The sequence below is a fragment of the Homo sapiens genome, chromosome 2, assembly GCF_000001405.40.
Source record: "Homo sapiens chromosome 2, GRCh38.p14 Primary Assembly".
Taxonomy (NCBI): Eukaryota; Metazoa; Chordata; class Mammalia; order Primates; family Hominidae; genus Homo; species Homo sapiens.
In genome coordinates, this window is record NC_000002.12 from 213,097,877 (window position 1) to 213,117,195 (window position 19,319).

General features: G+C 33.6%; 1 protein-coding gene across 30 annotated transcripts in view; it reads right to left on the minus strand.

Moving 5' to 3' along the window:
- The window catches only part of IKZF2 (IKAROS family zinc finger 2), a 152,759-nt gene that overhangs the window by 98,179 nt on the left and 35,261 nt on the right, over nt 1-19,319 (minus strand). Inside the window, exon 3 of one of the 30 annotated variants that reach the window (XM_011510818.4) lies at nt 1-19,319. This exon is cut by the window's right edge and continues 30,620 nt beyond it. The exons of the other annotated variants lie outside the window; for them this stretch is intronic. The gene's annotated coding sequence lies outside the window, so the exon portion shown is untranslated. 30 annotated transcript variants of the gene reach the window in all.

Genomic DNA, 19,319 nt, shown 5'->3' on the forward strand with positions numbered 1-19,319 from the left:
CTTAAATTAATGGTTGAATGTAATCTGGCAAGGAACAGAAGTATATCAAAGGACACTTCTAATTCTATATTTTTGAAAAAGACCCTATAAATTAGAGAAAGCTTTTTTTACAAGAGTGATTAAAACAGTTAACATGAATTAATCAATCTCAAAAAAGTCACAGAAGTTAGGTCAGTGATATCATTCTATATCCATGGCTCTAGACCTTCACTGTGCATCAGAATTATCTGGGGAAATTAATAAATCATTATCAATGCCTGAGCCCTACCCCTATTTTTATTAAATTGGTATGGGATGGGGTAAAAATACCAGTATTTTTTAAACATATCCAGATGATTCTAATGTGCAGCCAAAGTTGAGAACCACCATTCTACATATTGAGAAGAAATAAATTACAGAGTAGAGCAACTCGCAAAATGAGACTAGAATCCAAGTTTCCAATTTTAGGACTTACAAGAAAATCTCCTCCTGGAATCAAAAGAGGTTTGAATGTACATTATATAATATGAAGATATTTAAACATATTGAGGCACCCATGACATTTAATTGGCATTCAACCTTACACAAAATGATGGTAATCAACAAATGATCACCCTTACTAATGCCATAAATGGTCCTTCCATCACACCATCTTAATTTCAAAAGTAACATTTTCTTTGCTTCTGAATCTGAAGAAAACAAAAAAATCTCAAAGTCTAACATAACTACTTTGCAATTACTTTTTGCCATATATAAAGAGAAAGAAGTCCTCATAACTAATCTTTTCTATACAAAAATGAACAGACAGCAGGAAAAAAAATATATAGGAATAGAATCACCGCCTTAGGTGATGGGCAGACAGTTTCCAAAGCAAAGCATTCTCTCACTCTGTCCCGGTTAAAACCTGTTTGTCTGGGGATTGGCTCAGCTGCTCCAGTTCCAGCTTCCCGGCCTTCCAAGGTGCTGACGTGACCTCAGTTGTCATTCTGCTGGAGCTAGATCCAACTAACAAAATCCAACACATGCAGGCACTTGTTTCTCCATTATCCAGTGCCTTCAAGGGCAGCAGAGAATCAGGGAGTCAGTCACCTCTTCTAATCTTGCCCTTGATAGTTTTTATCCTCAATCCTTAAACACTGTGCAAAGGTTATTAGGCAGATGAACATCAATGATCAGCAATCAAATGGACCAAATGAAGAAAACAAGATAAAAATTCAATTAAATATTAGCTAGTTGATTTACAGAATTTTACAGAAGGGAAGCATCTAGTAAACTGAGTTTATTCATATACTGATGAAGATCTGAAGGCTTTAGTTGAGGAAGCTACATGACAAAAGTCAGCCTCCTCCCCCCATCCTCCTTTCTTTTATAAAGATAACTGAAGAGATTGAAGGAAACAAATATTGTAAATATTACTGTAAGATGCCAATATTATATACATGATTCCTGAAAGTTGAGTATCTATGTACATATGAAGAGTAGAGAGATGCCATTTAAAAATCACATCTCATCTGCTTTTTTTGAAAAGGGATTCTTTCTTATAAGCTGTATCAAGTGTAACTTGAACATGATGTCCTTAAATTTTTGTGATCATCAACAATTTGTAGTAACAGACTCTGAGATCAAGAGCAACGTACGTGATGAAGCCTCATCTTACTCCCTATACCAACTCAGCACTGAAGATTTGCATGCTTGAGCTTTCCTCTTCTAGCTCTAAATAATTCCTCATATACAGCATGGTACACAGCTTTACCTACAAGCACAAAACAACATTCTTTACCCAGTACATGTTATTACCTCCTCATTTAAAAGAAAAAACGTGAAGCACAAGATGTGTAATCATATTATGAACAAAAGCATGTTTTAATGTTAGCTTTTTTAGTTAGCTCAGTGACCATCAGCACATTTTTAACCTCTCTGACCCTTAGCTCGGCATCTCTAAAATGAGGGTAATAAGGAACCTATCCCGTTGTGCTTTTAGAGGATTAAATAAGATAAAAGACACCCTATTGCACATTGTAAGCACTTAATGATAGTTATTACTAGGTATATGAGTAAAGGCTCTACTGCTTTAGATTCATTAAAGAATTGGCTTTCATTTTCATTTGAGATTACTTTATAAAAATCATATGGTTATCCACATAAGTTACTAATATAAGTGGGTTTTTGATATGTTTATATTTTAATGTATGGCATTTAAGCTAACTGACACTAAGCACATGGATAACTCTTCTAATGTCATCTAAAGTGATATTTCTCAAATGAAATATCCTTCTGTGGGAAGGACCAATTGGTTTTTTAAATTTCTAATTCATCACATTTGTATAATCAAGTCAAATTTGACAAAAACAAAATACAAGCCCCCTATTTTTATTACTCTATCAAACTTTGGTGACAGTTTTAAGCATTTACTCAACTTCTATATTTAATTTCAAGGCAGACTGGTAACAAATGCTTTCCAGCCTACAGACTGCATATTAAGTAGGACTACTATAAAGAATACTTGATTTTAAGAATGATAGATATTGACTATTTTATAATAAAACAAACTAAAATTTAAAACTAAAAATCCTTATTAATGGTGTTTCACTTACATGAATCTCAATTCAAACTAGGTATGAATTTTAAAAAATAGTAAAATTGCCAAAATACCATAGGGGCCCCTTGGTGAAAGCCACGTATTTAACATACTGTCTTAAAAGGCTATTTAATACAGCCACTGAATTCTAACTTAATGTTGATCTAATACAAAGCATTACCGTGCAATAGTCACTAAATAAACTATGAAAAACAACCAATAAGAGTAACCTTACAGGTTTACACTTAAATTTTTTAAGGAAGTTCCTCACACTAATCTAACTACAATATACTTAGGAATACTTGGCAACATTAACAGTACCTGTGGCTACTCTAGGTAGTATTTCTTTTTAAAGGCCAGGTACTTGTATAAAGAGAAGTCCCAATATTATAAATCCAACAAACTCAATAATATATTAAAATGTTTAGCTTGTTGTTTTTCTTACAGAACAGATAATACTTTCTAGGTATTTGCTTTTCTAGTGCTTTATGATTTCAACGTAATGTTTTGTCAGTTTTGGCATAATGAAAATTAATAATACAGATCCTACCTACACGGTTGAACCCTACTTGGGCTGCCATGGTAGAAAGAGAGAGAGAAAGAAAGAGAGAGAGAGAGAAGAGACAACCCTTTGTTGACTAAACAAAATCACCTATTTTCCCTATACCTATGAGGAAAAATATTACAATGAAACAAAATGAGATGGACAGACAACATTCTTATGTCTATAATGTTAAAATTTGGTTTATCAGTAAATTACTTCATATCTTTCAAGCCTGCTTTAAAAAAAATCTCAGAAACCATAAAAATGTTTTCATTAGTTATTTAAACACTAGAATAGGTAGTGACTAAGATTTGAGAAGAAGATGAGAGGCAGTCTCTAACCAGCATTACTCATTATTTCTCCAACCTGGAAAAACTTTTTCTTCTTTCAGAGGTCAAATTAAAAGTACCTTTACCTATGGTTATCCAGAAAAGGAATGAGAATTAGAATAGATACGTTCACTGTAGTCTGCCTAAAGAAAACACTAGGAAAGAATTATGATATACAAATTTCCTTCACATTGATGTTTTTCTGGCAACTGACACTACCTACTATTAAGATAATTCTGAGATTACAAAAAAAAAATTAGTTCAAATGAAGGAAATCCTTACCTAGGCTCCAAATTAAATTTAATTTTAAAAAGCAATTATTAAAAATGTTTATGTCCACAAAGGAAAGTACGACCCTAACGTCTTATAACAATCAGCTATCAAATGAATAATCCAGCACCTTAAGAGTATTTTTAATCAGTCTCTGTATTCCATCATACATGAAATATAGTACAGCTTGTTCCATGTTTGGTCCAAGATGCTAATGATAGTAGCTGTGGCAATCAAATCAGTAGCACGAACGATAGTACACTCACACCTAGAGTGCAAAGAAACATTCTTTCTTACTACTTTATTCTCACTTTAGCTCTGTCTAAAGGACAGGAAATAATGTCATTCCTCCCATAACAAATAAACCTGCCATTTCAGATAACTGATCCATGACAGGTTACTAGTATTCAAAACTGGCACTTAGAACATTGTCACCATGCAAGCAAACAGGAAGCAATTTGCAGGCTGTAGACCTAAATCTGCTACATGGATCTTTTTTACTTGTTTTGGTAAAACCAGGAAAGAAGCACATACAATACATATTTTTAAAGAAGTGGTGATTTTCATGTTTTCAATAATTCTGTATTTAAACTAGAATTTGTGAGCGGCATCTTTGAGATGGGACAGATGCATAGTCCCAGAAATATTGACTACTTTCTGTACCCGGGAAAACCAAGGCGTGGTGCTGTTGGCAGTTGTCAGGGTATCTGTTTGCCCAACTTTTATCCAGCTGGAGCAAAGGTAATAAGCTCTTGAAATAGAAAAAGAAAGTGGAAAAAGACAAAATTTGCAAATTGATAATTTTCAAAACTGAATTAAAATGTATAGTACCATACAGGACTTGTCCATTAAATGTAATACAAACAAGAATAAACCAGAGCAATTCACAATTCACCAAGACAAGTTGGGAGGTTGTTTTTACACCTGTTCTTGGTTTGCTCCCAATGTACAAGCAATAGGAAATTTTTTAAGTAAATAAGACGTCAATCTCATAAAATCTCAATAACTCTTCATTAGAAATTAAACAAAAATAATGCATAAAAATCCACAGCATATAGCAAAATGAATTTTAATAAGACCAAATATAACATTTAAAGGAAGGGGGGGGGTCTCAATTCTATTGAATTTATAGAATAATATGTTGATTTAACTAATAATCAATTGTTCTATTCTTCTTGTCATATTTCCAGCTGTACCAGAAAATTTTTTTAAAAAGAAGTGCTTCCTCAGTAATATTCTGCTGCTCTACAACAGTAAGCAAAACAGCAAGCATGAAGGCATCAAGAGGAAAGCACATGTGAGAAATGGGCAGCCTTTCATTGTAAAAAGGTTCCTTTTTACTCTCGAATATTGTGAGATAAGCAGTAATGGAAAAATAAGAGAGGTAAGATGGCATGGACCCAAGGAAATAACTGGAGGATCAAGTCCATATAGTGGTCAGGATAATGGCAATATAAACAATAATAAGTAACCACGTTACTCACATGTTCTAAATACCGTAGAGGGGGCTTAAATATACAACTAATCTAACAATCTTAAAAAATATAAGTATTCTCACTTTGTACAGGTAAGTCAACTGAGGCTCAGAGATATTAATTTATTCATACAAGGTCACTCAGTCAGTAGCTAGTTATTCCTTTGGGTAAACAATGATAAATTGTGATAAATGATGATAGAGAGACCAACAGACATGTATACACACATATCACAACTAATGGCAATGCTTAGATTTGAACCATTGCAGACTGTCTTCAAAGCTTGGACAGATAGCTTAATAAACAATCACAAAAGGATAATAAAAAGTATTATATGAATACTTATCAAAGATAATCTTCTGATTTATCAAATCAACAGACTGAACGAAAAGAAAGGCTTAATAAAAGTTTAGTGGGCACTTACTGAATGTATAGTGAATGAGAGAATGAATGAATGAGTATAAGATGGCAAGTGATAAATAGCCTTTTTTTCTTTAAGGAAAGGATAGGAAATCTCTTTAACCTTCCTTATTTCTACGTTAATTCTCTGAAAGGAAATGTCTTCTTACAATAAAACTGTGACATCACTGATCGTCAATAAATGTTTGTTTTGTAAACTTTGAATAATTAGGGGAAACAGGAATATAGCAAAATATTTGAAGATAGTTTAAATTACAAATAAGCTATTTTAAAGTCTATATAGATGTGTTAAAGATGTTCATTTTTATAACTTAGAACAACTGTTACAGAAATAAAGCTCAAATAATCTCACCATAAAATTCCTTAGTTACAAATATAGTGATATCAGATTTATAAGAAAATGTTAAAAGGACTTTGAATTTGCTAAAAAGAGTAGTATATTTTGAAATGTATTGAATAAAAGTGATGATATATTACATAAATGATCAATTAAAAAGATTTTTAGTATTCAGAATTATATATTTCCTGGATAAAACTGTGTTTTGTTTTCATTATTTTAATGCTCACAAGACACACCTCGGATTCGATTTGCAGTATACATAAAATGTAAGGGGGAAAAAGACCTCCATGTCTAGAGGTATTGCAAACTTGCAAAACACATTAATAGTACAGTTAAAACAGAATGTGTTAACCTGTCTTCTGAGGTTACCGCACAAGTGTTTTAAAAGTTTTGTTTTGCTGTGGTTTTAAAGCTTAGTGTGTAATCTCTCTACCACTGCTTCTAACGGACAAAAAAAAAAAAAAAGAAAAAGAAAAAGTTACAACTCAAATTCTGTAGTAAACCACAGGGCAGAGGCAAGGGGTTCTCAGCCCATTCCTTAACAAACTTGTTGCTAGTCCTGTCTGCACCATCCTAACTCGCCTATGTTCCCCAGGCACTGAGCCAAAAGTATCATTTTACTGAGTGAAGAAAAAAGAGTTTCATTCTTCCAATCTTGTACTACTTTCACCTCAACCTTGCAATCTTGTTTTTCCACATTTTCTAACTATTGAAATGAAAGCATTCCCCCCAAAATATTAATAAAGAATAGGGAAAGGAAGAGAATGGGAAGGAGGTGTTCTCTTCTAGATAGTACGCAGAGTACGAGGCACTATTTTAAACACTGATAAGGGCACGCATAGAAGCAGGGACTCTGCTTGCTGCCAGTGAATTCAGGTAATGTATCCATTGTTCCAAATTGCTATGGTCTGGTGACAGGAACCCCAACTAGAACAAGCTTGCCCTGCATTTTCTTTTGCATTTAGATGCCAACTTTGATAAGGTCACGCCTTAAAAGATCCACATAGCATGCAACACACAGATAGCAATAAAGCCTTCAGCCATTCCCATACTCAGATAAGAATGTAAAAAGAAGAGGAAATCAGAAAGACATTCACATATATGAACAGATTTACAGGGCCAACCCATTTATAACTACACCTATCTAGATCCTTTCACACACCAGGGACCTATGTGGAGCCAACAACAAAGGTACTCCAGAGATTCCCTCCCCTCCCAGGCCCCCATGCTCCTATCCCAGAATTTTCTCAAAGGAGCTCATTGCTTTCCCTCACTGGCTTCCTTTGAGTAGTGTCAAAAAGACTTCCCTTAATGCTTTGACTGCTTCTTTCAATTCCAGGGACTCCCTGAAATGTCCAATTTATTCCCCTGACCCTCCCAAAAGGTTTGACTCCTCTTCTACTGCAAAGCTCTCCCTCATGAGCTACCCACAGAAACCAGTTCCCTAGACTGCCTTCCCTCCCAATCATAGCCCGAAGATCCAATCCTCTTCTCCCTTGCTGTTTTCCTTTCCAACTGTTCCCAAAAGTACCTAACCTGACATCATTATTAGTGAAAATACACCAGAGGTTTTGGGGGAAGGGAGGAATACCATTAGAGCAAAGGAAAAACACACATGCACATACAGTGCAGGAATGATGTTCTCATTCCTGGACTGGTTTTCTCTTACCTTTGTCTATACACAATACGTCACCTCTGACACACTCAAACATTCCCAAAAAGCTTGATTAAATGATTTTATCTGGCGTATTTAAAGAAGTGTAGTGTGTGGGGGGGGAAGGGGGGGGTGGTATGTCAGTATATTACATTTTTTTCCTAACAAAAACATCGAAACATACCAATTTATAAAATTGTGACCAAAATCAAAACACAAGTGCAAAGATCCTTTTTAAATTTGTGATTATCAAATGCTACAAATCAGAATTCTGCAAACAAACAAAAATCAAAGAACTTCTTCAGCCACGACTATTGATAGGGTAACATCATGCTTAAAACTTCTCTTGTGAAAATGCTGTGCTCTAGCTCAATGCTTAACCAGACTCTTCTGGAAAACTTTTGTTATTTCGCTGTAATGTTTTCAAAAAGATTTAAGAGTTTCCAAACAACTTGTTTTACACTGACTTAAGTTTTACCTAGCTCAGATAAAAATAGATTTCTTGGGCAAAAGATAAATGTACAATTTGTTTGAAAACGTTTTCTTCAATCAGTATATTTTTATGACCTAAAATATAGTAACAAAATTAAGTGATTCCATTTTTCACTTTAAGATATAAATTTACCTAAACTGTCTTTATTTAAATTGTCAGACTTCATGATTAGCTATTTCTCTTTTTAAAAAAGGCATTACCATAATGACCAATAATTATAATCCAAATAATTAGTATTTACATATCTTTAAAATCAATCTTTTTTTAAAAAAATCTCTTTTGTGGTTGAAAAGAAAATTATGGAAAGACGGCACCAATCTATTTTTCTGTTTAAGAGATCCTTGCGCCTGTTTTTTAAAGGAAGAGTTGGTCTAACTACTCTTACGAAAAAAAAAAATGGCTAGGCACAATGGTTCACGTCTATAATCCCAACACTTTGGGAGGCCGCGGCTGGAGAATCGCTTGAGCCCAAGTGTTTGAGACCAGCCTGTGAGACATAGTGAGACCTCGGATCTAGAGAGATATTAGCCAGGCATGGTGGTGGCGCATGTCCCTAGCCCCAGCTAGTCCAGAGGCTGAGGTGAGAGGATCTCTTGAGCCCAGGAGTTCGAGGCTGCCACATAAGCCATGATCATGGTGCCACTGCACTCCAACCTGGGCGACAGAGTGAGGGAAACCCTGTCTAAAAAAAAAAAAAAGAAAAAAGAAAAGAAAAGAAGAAAAAAAATGTTTTTTAAGTAGGTTTTCCATTTCTGAGACTAAATATCTAAAAGTTTCTTGCCACTTGAAAAATCTAAAAGTGAAACATCTCAAGTCTCACTCATAACTCTATTCTTCATATTTTGTACTATGATGAACACATTAAGTAATACATATATTTAACATGTGATTAATATGTAATCTTGAGCAAAGGTACCAAAAAGTATCTCTCCAATTCAGAGCAAAAGTCAAAAAAATTTTAATTTTAATTTAAAATATTCCTTATGCCACCCATCAAGAAAGCCATTATATGATAAACAGCAGATATATCATGCTGCTGATTAATTATAATGGGGAAAATCATAAACCTAGAAATCAACTATATCACATATAGAAGGACACGGTAAGGAGAATGTACCTGTTTGTCAACAGGTCCATTGTCTATGATGAGCAAATTAGCCTGCTCAGAGTCAGAAACAACACTTAGGGTTCCCTCAGACACACAGTGAAAGACCATCACAAAGCACTCAGGCTGTTAACACAAGACAAAAAAAATAATAGTCCTCAGAAGACCCTTTCTCATCCCTTGCCCATGAGAACTTTAAGGCTTAGCAAGACAAACAAAGAATTATATATTTCTTGGGCAAGGTTTATCACATTTATGTCAACAAAGAGATGATCACTGTGAGGTCTTATAGCTTCACAGTTGTAGTTTTTAAAGGAGGGATCACTGAACTCCCAACAAATTGTATAGCTCATTTTAAGTACGTGTACATACACGCACTTTCCATTAGTATCACAAAATTCTAATTGTAGAATTGTCTCTAAATGTTTTTCTCACTGTGGAAAAAGCAGATTTGCTCATCTGTAGCGAGAACCTGACTGGCACTTAATAGGGAAGGTATGTAAATCATGGTTCAAGTTCAGTCATTGCTGGAACTGTGTAACTACCTTCATGTATTAGAGTTTTCAGTGAAAATTTAGATAATTTATCTCAGGAATTCTTGTTTTCAGTGAAAATTTAGATAATTTATCTCAGGAATTCTTGCAGGAGGAAAAACAAACAACACACATACATACTTCTAAACTCTTTGGCGAGATCACAAAGATCTTAGGCCCTTCTTGACAACATTTTAGAGAACTATCAAGAATACTGGAACACGACAGAACACAATGCATGCTGAATTCGAAATCAAAAGACCTGAAGTTTACCTGTGTTCTAACTGTGTAGGTTAGTTTTCATATCTCTAGAACAAAGAGAGGTATGCTACATCTCGAAAGCTATGATTAAGTGAAATGTAAACCATCAGGCATGATGCTAAATTAGGCAAAAGGAAGCAACAACGGCCGTGAAACCCTACTGAGTTGATAGGAGAATGGGGTCAATGTAAACTTGGGAAAAAAACGATTGAAATTACTATGGAGCAACCCACAAGGCATTATCCTTTTCAGTGTTTAATGAGATTTCCCGAAATATTCAAAATGGGTGCATGCTTTGATGTCAACTAGGATAACCTGTGAAAAAATGAAATAAGGACTATATAAGATGTAGAATTATCCATTGGAAAGTAGGTGATTTTTATTGAGGAAAAAAAGTTTTTCTGACAAAATTTTACAAATTTTAAAAAATTTCTTCTACATGACGTAAATATTTTACATAATATAAAATATTATGCTTACATTAGCTTTATGTACTACTTCTGCCATCCCCAATGAACTGTGGTCATAATAAGCAGATTTGTGTGCATGAAAAGACAGAGGGGCCAGCTTCTAAAAAACCCTTCTCACTGTGCCCCACAGTTTGAGAGATCAGAGCTACAAGCTGAGCTACTGAACTGATATGACCTGAGATCTGATCCCACTGCAGTAGCCATCGGGCTACAGTGGTAGTGTTACTTTACCAAAATAAACCCCTCCTCAATAGGAAAACGGTCCAAGAGTGCTTCCAGGTGCCAACTTCTACTCTTCTGGAATAAAATTCCACTAACAAAGTTGATATAGCTTTAAAGTGCTTTTCTTTAAAAGAAGGTACATATATTTAGGTTCTACTCATCCTACAATTCAATCTCGAAGAATACATAAACATAAAAAAGCAATACAACATATTGCTTTTTTTGCTAATATAAAAGTAATATATGCTTATTGTAAAAAAAAATGTAAAATCTATAAAAGTATAAATCAAACAAAAATCACAAAGAATCCCAACACTCAAAAATGACCACTATTCACATTTGGTGTATATTCATCTCATCTTTCCTCTATGAAATATACATCTATTTATATATGGCACGCTTTTCTTTACATATTTGAGATCCTACTATATAAACTTGTATAATCTTTTTAATGTATGTATTTCAAAAAATGTCTATGCCATAATCATTCTTAAAGCACATGGTTTTTAACAGCTCCATTTTATTCTATCCAATTAATATATTATTTTTTAAATAACTGACCACTATTTAAAATATTTCAAATTAGTAATTAATTCTCCGTATTAAATAATCACTTTGAGGAGACTTATTTTAGAAGTGATTTTAACACTTGACCCTACCAAATTCTCAGCAAGTAAAACATGCAAGCAGACACAAAATTATAGCAGTGAAAATTTTATAATCCACCTCCCCTTTATTTTACTCAAATAAATCAAATCTTACAGGTAGTGGCAAACTGTGCATATTGTCTTGTTAATATTCATCTTGCAATTTTAGGGCTACATATCATAAGTAACACAACCACAGGAATAATAGATGCTTGCATTGAAGATACTATACTAGGTATTATAAAGACATTCACTCCAACCTTGACCACAACCCTGTAAGGCATGTATTAGTATCACTTTTTTTTAACAGATTAAGAAATTAACTTTCTGAAAGGTTAAGTAATTCACACAGCTATTAAATGAATCCTACCAAAACTTAAGACACAGCTCTTGAATCCCATTTCCAAACAGATATTTAGTGTTCTCATTTATATTTATGTGCTATATATTTATATTAACTGTACTATGACCACTAATGAAAATAAATTCCTAACACTACCATTATTATCATGATGTTACAGTACAGCAATTTGGCAATACTATATTTCAAGAAGAAAAACATAAGCAAGGTAAAATATCTATAGAAATTTTAAATAATATTATCATTTCTAAAGTTGCATATTGTATAAAAATGGTAAATTCTAAAATGAACACTGGTCTTGATTTTTGTACAACTGGTGTTTTAAAACTACCACTTAATTACACTGTTCAATATTAATTGCTTGATGGAGTTAATGTGTAGGAAACAAAGATATAAAATGCAATTAAAATTATTAAATATACACAATAAATAAAACCATCAACAAATGATCTGAGTGTAAGGAATCTACATCTAAATTGGGTGTTGGGGAAGCAAATTAATGGATTACACCAGTTTCTTACAGTTCCACTGGCAAACAGTTGAAGGGCTGACACTTTCAGTCTCACCCTATAGAAATATTTTCTCAAAAAAACTAATATTTACTGTGGTTTAGTTGTTATTATTAGTGTTTTTTTCCTTTTGTTTTGATGTTGTCAAATAGGTAGATATTTGAATGGTTCAAAAATCAAAAAGTATAAAAGTATATCTAGTGAAGAGTCTTGTTCCATCCCAGCCCCTCATCTGCTCAGCTGTCATCCCTCTATCTATACACTCCCAAACAATTAATTATTTCATTACCTTCTTGTTTATCCTATGAGTTTTTAAATATAATTATTAGTAAACATTTCTGGGGTTTTTTTTACCCAACTTATTTTCTTCTGCCCCTTCCTTTTTTTTAATCTTAGCAATATATTTTCGAAATCTTTCCATATTCATGATTCTTATTTTTTATATACTTGCATAATATTCAATTATTGGATATACCTAATTTATTTAATCAATCCACTACTGATGGGCATTGTTTGCACAATGTTTCCCATCTTTTGATATGAAAAACAATGCTGCAATGAATAAATCTGTGCACTCAACATTTGACAAATTATTATAAGATAAATTTGTAGAAACAGGAGTACTGAGTCAAAGTTTATAAGCATTTGTTCCAATTCACATTTATATAAATTTATACTCCCATCAACAATACATAAAAGGCCCTGTTTCCTTGCAGCCTTGCCAACACAGCATGACACAAAATTTTCAGTTTTTTGCTAATATAATGAATTAGACATGCTATGTCAGTATAGTTTTATATACCTCCTATTTTGGGTGAAGTTAAGAAAAACTTTATATGTGTAGGAGCCAATGGTATTTTTCTGTGAACTGTGTGTTAGAATAATTTAACCAAATTTCTATTAGATACTTACTGTACTTCAGGAATTACTAGGAGCTGTTATGTATTAGAGATTAACCGTTTAAGTCATCATATGAGTTGCAAATTTTACCTCCAGCTTGTTGTTTACCTTTTGGTTTTATTTATGCTATTTTTTGCCATGTAGAAATTTTTATTATTTTAAATGAATTAATCCTTTGAAATTGACTTTTAGATATTGAATTTTATTAAAAAGAGCTTCCCATAGTAAGACCATAATAAGACTTTCACATTTTCTTCTATTACTTATATGGTTAACTTTCATGTATATATCTTTGTTCCAATTCAGAGTTTATCCTGAAGTTCAGTATAAGATATAAGCAATATTGCATCTACCTGTGAAAGAATACTTCACAGTATATCTTCCCCATTTTAAGTACGCTTCTGCATGTTCTTTAATACAAATATTACACATTTAAATATTGGCATGTTAATTTAAACTGCCCTATTACTAAATTATTTTATTGTTTATGAATTATTTGTCTTTCAGCTGATTCTCTGCAGTTTATGGATACAAAACATACCATCTGCAAAAAGTGATTATTTTATCTCTACCTATCAAATTTTTATAATCTTATTTTTTATTATCTAAATCCATTGGCAGTTTCGTCCAGCACAATATTAAAAAAGAGTAAAGAGAACAAACAAAATCTACCTAGTTTCTGAAATTACTGAGCATGCGTATGTGTTTTCCTATGAATCATAATGGCTTTTGGACTCACATACATACATTTGATCACTATGAAGAAGTTTCCCTTTATTTCTGTTTACTGGGTGTAGAGAATGGTTGTTAATTTTTGTCCTATGTTTTTTCACTGTCTATAGAGAAAATCATATGATTGTTCTCTTTAGTTTAATATGATAAATATTAGATTTCCTATTATTGATCCATCCTTGCACTGCTGAAATAAATTTCTTTTGTTAATAACAAATTATTACTTTCAGGGAATTCAAATTGTAATTTATTTTTTTAGAAACTGCCTCTTCTTTTTGGACTATTATTACTTGATATTGTTAAAGGACAAGAGGCCAAGCCTTAAAGCAATAAAAAATTACCAACCAGAAAGATTTGCAGAGGAGAACTTTAGGTTGAGGAGCAGGTATAAACTAATAGATTATGTTTGATAATTACAGTTTCATTGGTTAAGAACTGTGAGACTAACATTTTCAGTCCTACTCCATAGGGAAATTATATGCTCAGCAGAAGTATTTTATCCTAACACTGTTTATGGGTTATTTTTTATTTAACAATACATTAATTCAACTTAGTACAGATTTACTGAACATCAACTATTTTCAAGGTATTGAGATTGTGTAGTTCAGTGGCTTGCAAACTTTTTTTTGACCCAGACAGACAATAAAAAATATATTTTTATTGCAACTCACTATATACATATGTCTATGTATGTCTAAATACATATTAATGTTTATGAAAATGGCTTAATGAAACAATACTACACATAATCATAGTTCTTTCCTTCTTTCTTTTTTTTTTAAGACAGGGTCTCACCCTGTCTCCCAGTGACAGATTGTGCAGTGGCACGATCACAGCTCACTAGCCATGAACTCCAGGGCTCAAGTGATCCTCTTGCCTCAGCCTTCTGCATAGCTAAAATTACAGGTGCAAGCCACTGGGCCCAGCTCAATATTCCATATTCTAACGTTTTCTATTCCATATCATTTTTACTAAAGTGTTGGTTTCTATACATTACACCGATTCCCCAACCCATAATAAATTAAAATTTACAGTGTTAGAAATATCATATTAGCTAAGACGAAGGATTCTGGAACTAGGCAACCAAGGTTTGAATCACAGCTTTACCTCTTAATGGCTTTTAATTGCACCTCAGTTTTTCATCTATAACAGCGGGGCAATACTAGCATCTACCTCATAGGGTTTTATTGAGATTAAATGAATTAATACATATAAATATATGTTTGAAATATTATATTTGATTTGTTTGACAAAACATTTCCCTTGATCCTACAGTTGCTAAAAAAAGCAAAAACTTGCATCCCCAAAATACAAAAACTGTGGAGAAATCATTAGATATACAGACTTCCTATCATCTAAAAAAAATAATTATGAGCATGCCAATATAATCTAAATATCTGATTGTTTTTTAAAGTGAATCTGAACTGGATCTTCTCTTTCAAGGCCTTGAGATAACCAGTAAATATTAGCTAAGTTAAATAATCATTAAGTTGTCTCTTTTATTCCTACTTTATATGGATGTCCCTTGCTCCAATGACTATCAAAGAAGTTGATAACACTAAGAGACTTAGTGGAGATCTATAATGGTACAACTCCAACTCATTCTGAAATGGTATGCAGAGAGTAGCCTAATCTTTACAGTATTTAGGAGTTTAAACATCTTAAAATCAGCCTGGAGGAAAGAATGATCTTATCTCTTCCTTAACTCAGTTTTTTTGGGGCCTCTTCAAAGTTAACTTTAGAGCCCATGGAGAATAGCTTTTTCTTACACATAATTTTACTATTACATAAGCTTGCTGGGATTTATCCATTGTACAAAACAAATGGTATTAAAACCTCTAGTAAATATACTACCTACTTTCAGGTACAATCTCAAGAAATCCCCTAACTCTGCAAATGTCTGTTTCTCTAAAAAACAAAGAACCATGTTTCAAAGTTAATTTACTTTGGAGGTAAGAAGTTTGGTTGTTGCTTGGTTTTTTTCCCCTTATCTCTCTTTCTTCAGCTGTACCTATTGATACTTGGCACATACGTTTTTTCTAATTGTTTTAGGGAAGGAGTGGAGAGAGGTGTTTGTTTGTTTTGTTTTAGCATGTTTCTAAATGTGCCTGGGATTATATTCTTAAAGTTGGCATCTATTGAGCAAGGAGGGGCAAGGATACACAAGTTTGACAGAAATAAAGGTAAATAGCTATTTTTATACTCATCACAAGGATGACAAGTGCTAGCAATGGCCAGAATGCCTATCTCCCACTGCAACTGCAATCCCAAACTCCTCCTAATATACCTGTAATAATCAGTTACGTCTAATACATCTCTTGAGCCTGGTTCTCTGCCTTAAATGTCTTCCTAAAATCTCTAACATTGACACCCAACTCCAAATTTTGAGTTCAAATAATAGCTGACTGAAAGTTTTCAATATATTTTCAGTGTTTATATTTGCTAAGGATAATAGGTTTTCCTGAAAAAAAATTTTCTTCCTCAGAGTAATCTAAAATCAAATCTTCCTCTATAATAAAAAGGTGTGGATGTGTGTGTGTTATAGGGGCAAAGGTGCAACGGGTTTTTTTTTACTCTGACAAGTATTCTGATAGTTTGACTTTGAGAGATCCTAAATGTAAATTGTTACAGAAACATCTAAAACGTTATTTTGAATTAAATCAAATATTTAAAAAGACCAAGTTTTTTCTTCCTTTCCTATTTCTTCCATTTATTTACTGTTGGATGGACTTGAGAAATGGAATTAATAGTGATTATTTAATTGGCCATGTGATGTATGACACTGAATGAACCAAATGCCTTCCCAAAATAAAGTGTATGAAAATGAATGTGAAACTCAGGGTAAGAGATTTTTCCAAAAGTCTTCCAAAAAGTGTGAAAATGTGAACCTGAACAGTAACTGATTTAATATGATTTTGATCAATGCAAAAACCTCTTAAGAAACAAAAGCACAGGCTAGGTGCGGTGGCTCACTCCTATAATCCCAGCACTTTGGGAGGGCAACCTGGGCGGATCACGAGGTCAAGAGATCGAGACCATCCTGGCCAACATGGTGAAACCTCATCTCTACTAAAAATACAAAAATTAGCTGGGCATGGTAGCGCGCGCCTGTAGTCCCAGCTACTCAGGAGGCTGAGGCAGGAAAATCACTTGAACCCGGGAGGCAACTGTAGTGAGCCCAGATGGTGCCACTGCACTCCAGCCTGGTGACAGAGTGAGACTCCATCTCAAAAAAAAAAAAAATCAAAGAAACAAAAGCATAAACCTATTTCTAGAATGAAGGCAAATGCACGTTAACCCTTAAAAGTTACAACAGTGTAGTTTTACATCTGGCTCAAAGAAGGCGGAATCACAGTTATAGTAGGTAATGCTGGATGATGGCAGCTGTGAAAAAGCTGGATAATAAATATATACAATCGCATACATTATAATAAAGCATACTGCATGTTCCTACACAGGTCTAAACCTAATTCCATTCATTCAGTATTCGATACGTTTACTGAAGTTTTAATCAATGTCAGGCACTGGTCTAAGAAAATAGTATCATGTCTTACAATGTCTTAAATATGAAACGATCCTAATTTGAGGTATGAGGAAGGAAAACAGTGACTAGAGAGTAAACAACACTAGTCTCCTCCTGAATAAATATGCTATACTATTAAATAAAATTCCATAGGCATAAAACAATGGAAGAATTTAACCACATAGCGAATATTTCCTTTATCTCTCTGCCACCCTGGGAAAATGTCTGTTTTCATAGTGAGGTCTCTCAAAATGATAGCAAACTAATCAGCAGAGGTTCTTGAGATAATGGGAGCTTGCCTGGCTAACCAGGCAGCCTGTCCATCAACTTCAGATCCACATATCTCCTGAATTATAATCAGAGACTGATGTTCACACCCTGAAACCAGTCCATAATTTGAACTCCTGCCTTAACAATAAATTAAAAGGATAGGTAAAGGCAATGCATGACTCAAACCATGTGAATCTCAACAAGTATGTTCCATTTACTATCTTGGAACAGTCATAATTGGTATTAGACCAAGTTTTTCCCGTCAAAACCAAAAGACAATGGAAATGCTAAACACCAAATGTCAGTAAACCAAAAAAGTCAAAATATTCACATGGTGTAATAAATACTTGGATTTTATTTTACTTTAAAGCATTTAGCAAATAATTAGCCACCCCATTATTACAATGTATGGGTGTATGACAGAAAAAAAAAAAGCTGTGTAACATCAGAGCTTTCTTATTTTGTGTATGGGTAAAACAAGGAAAACAAGGCAAAAACAAGGTTAAACTCTTAAATATAGCAAAGCACTGTTTGAACCTCTTTTAATGTAAAGGGATAACAGATTATACTTTATTGACCTTCTAGTTAATAACACTATTTTTAGAAAAACAAAAATCATATTATTACCATCTTAAATGTTAAACTCTTTCTTCGTTACAGGAACACAAAAAAGAGATACCAGTTAGTCCATTACCACAGAAAGAATTACTCTGTAGCTGTTAATAATTATAATGTATGTATGTGCTTAGAAACATGAAACAGTGTTGAGGACGTACAATGTTAAAGGAAAATTAATTATGTCATAAATAATTTCTATTATACAATCCCATCCATTTCCATGTTTACATGGTCATAGAAAATAATCTAAACAGATATACTTTGAGTTGCTAAGTGAATTATATGCAAAGCACTTAGAACAATGCCTAATACACAGTAAATGCTCTTTAAGAATTTCTGCAGGCTGGGGGCACAGTGGCTCACATCTGTAATCCCAGCATTTTGGGAGGCCAAGGCGGGTGGATTGCTTGAGTCCAGGAGTTCAAGACCAGCCTGGGAAACACAGTGGGATCTTGTCTGTACAAAAAACATTTAAAAAATTATACAGGCAGGGTGGCCTGTGCCTGTAGTCCCAGCTACTTGGAAGGCTGAGGTGGGATGATCACCTGAGGCTGTGAGGTCGAAGTTGACACTGAGCCATGATCGCATCACTGCACTCAAGCCTGGGTGACAGAGTGAGACCCTGTCTCACACACAAAAATCTGCTATTATCATTTTGTATGGTAATTGGCTCTGAATGTACAATTATGACTGCTTTAGCCCTGACTTCCTTTTACTTGTGCATGTTCCCCTTCTCCTTAATTAACCTGCATTCATTCTATCAAAAATGTTTATTAAAAAACATATATCATTAAAATATAATTTATAAAAATCACAATTTTCACATCCAATAATCACAATTTGGAAAAAGTAACCCATATTATAAAAAATTCATCTAACTGTTGTACCTCGTAATTTGTACTCAACAGCACTTAGGGTAAAATTCCGTAGGTAAAAAGCCCAGAATTTGAGGTACATAAGGAAGAGAAGAAACAAATATTAAAATATTAGGCATCTGAGTATTCTGTGCTGAACAGCGAAAGAAATTAATTTCACAAAAACTCCTGACCCCAATAAACAGACCAGCACTGAAAGGAGCAACTGTCA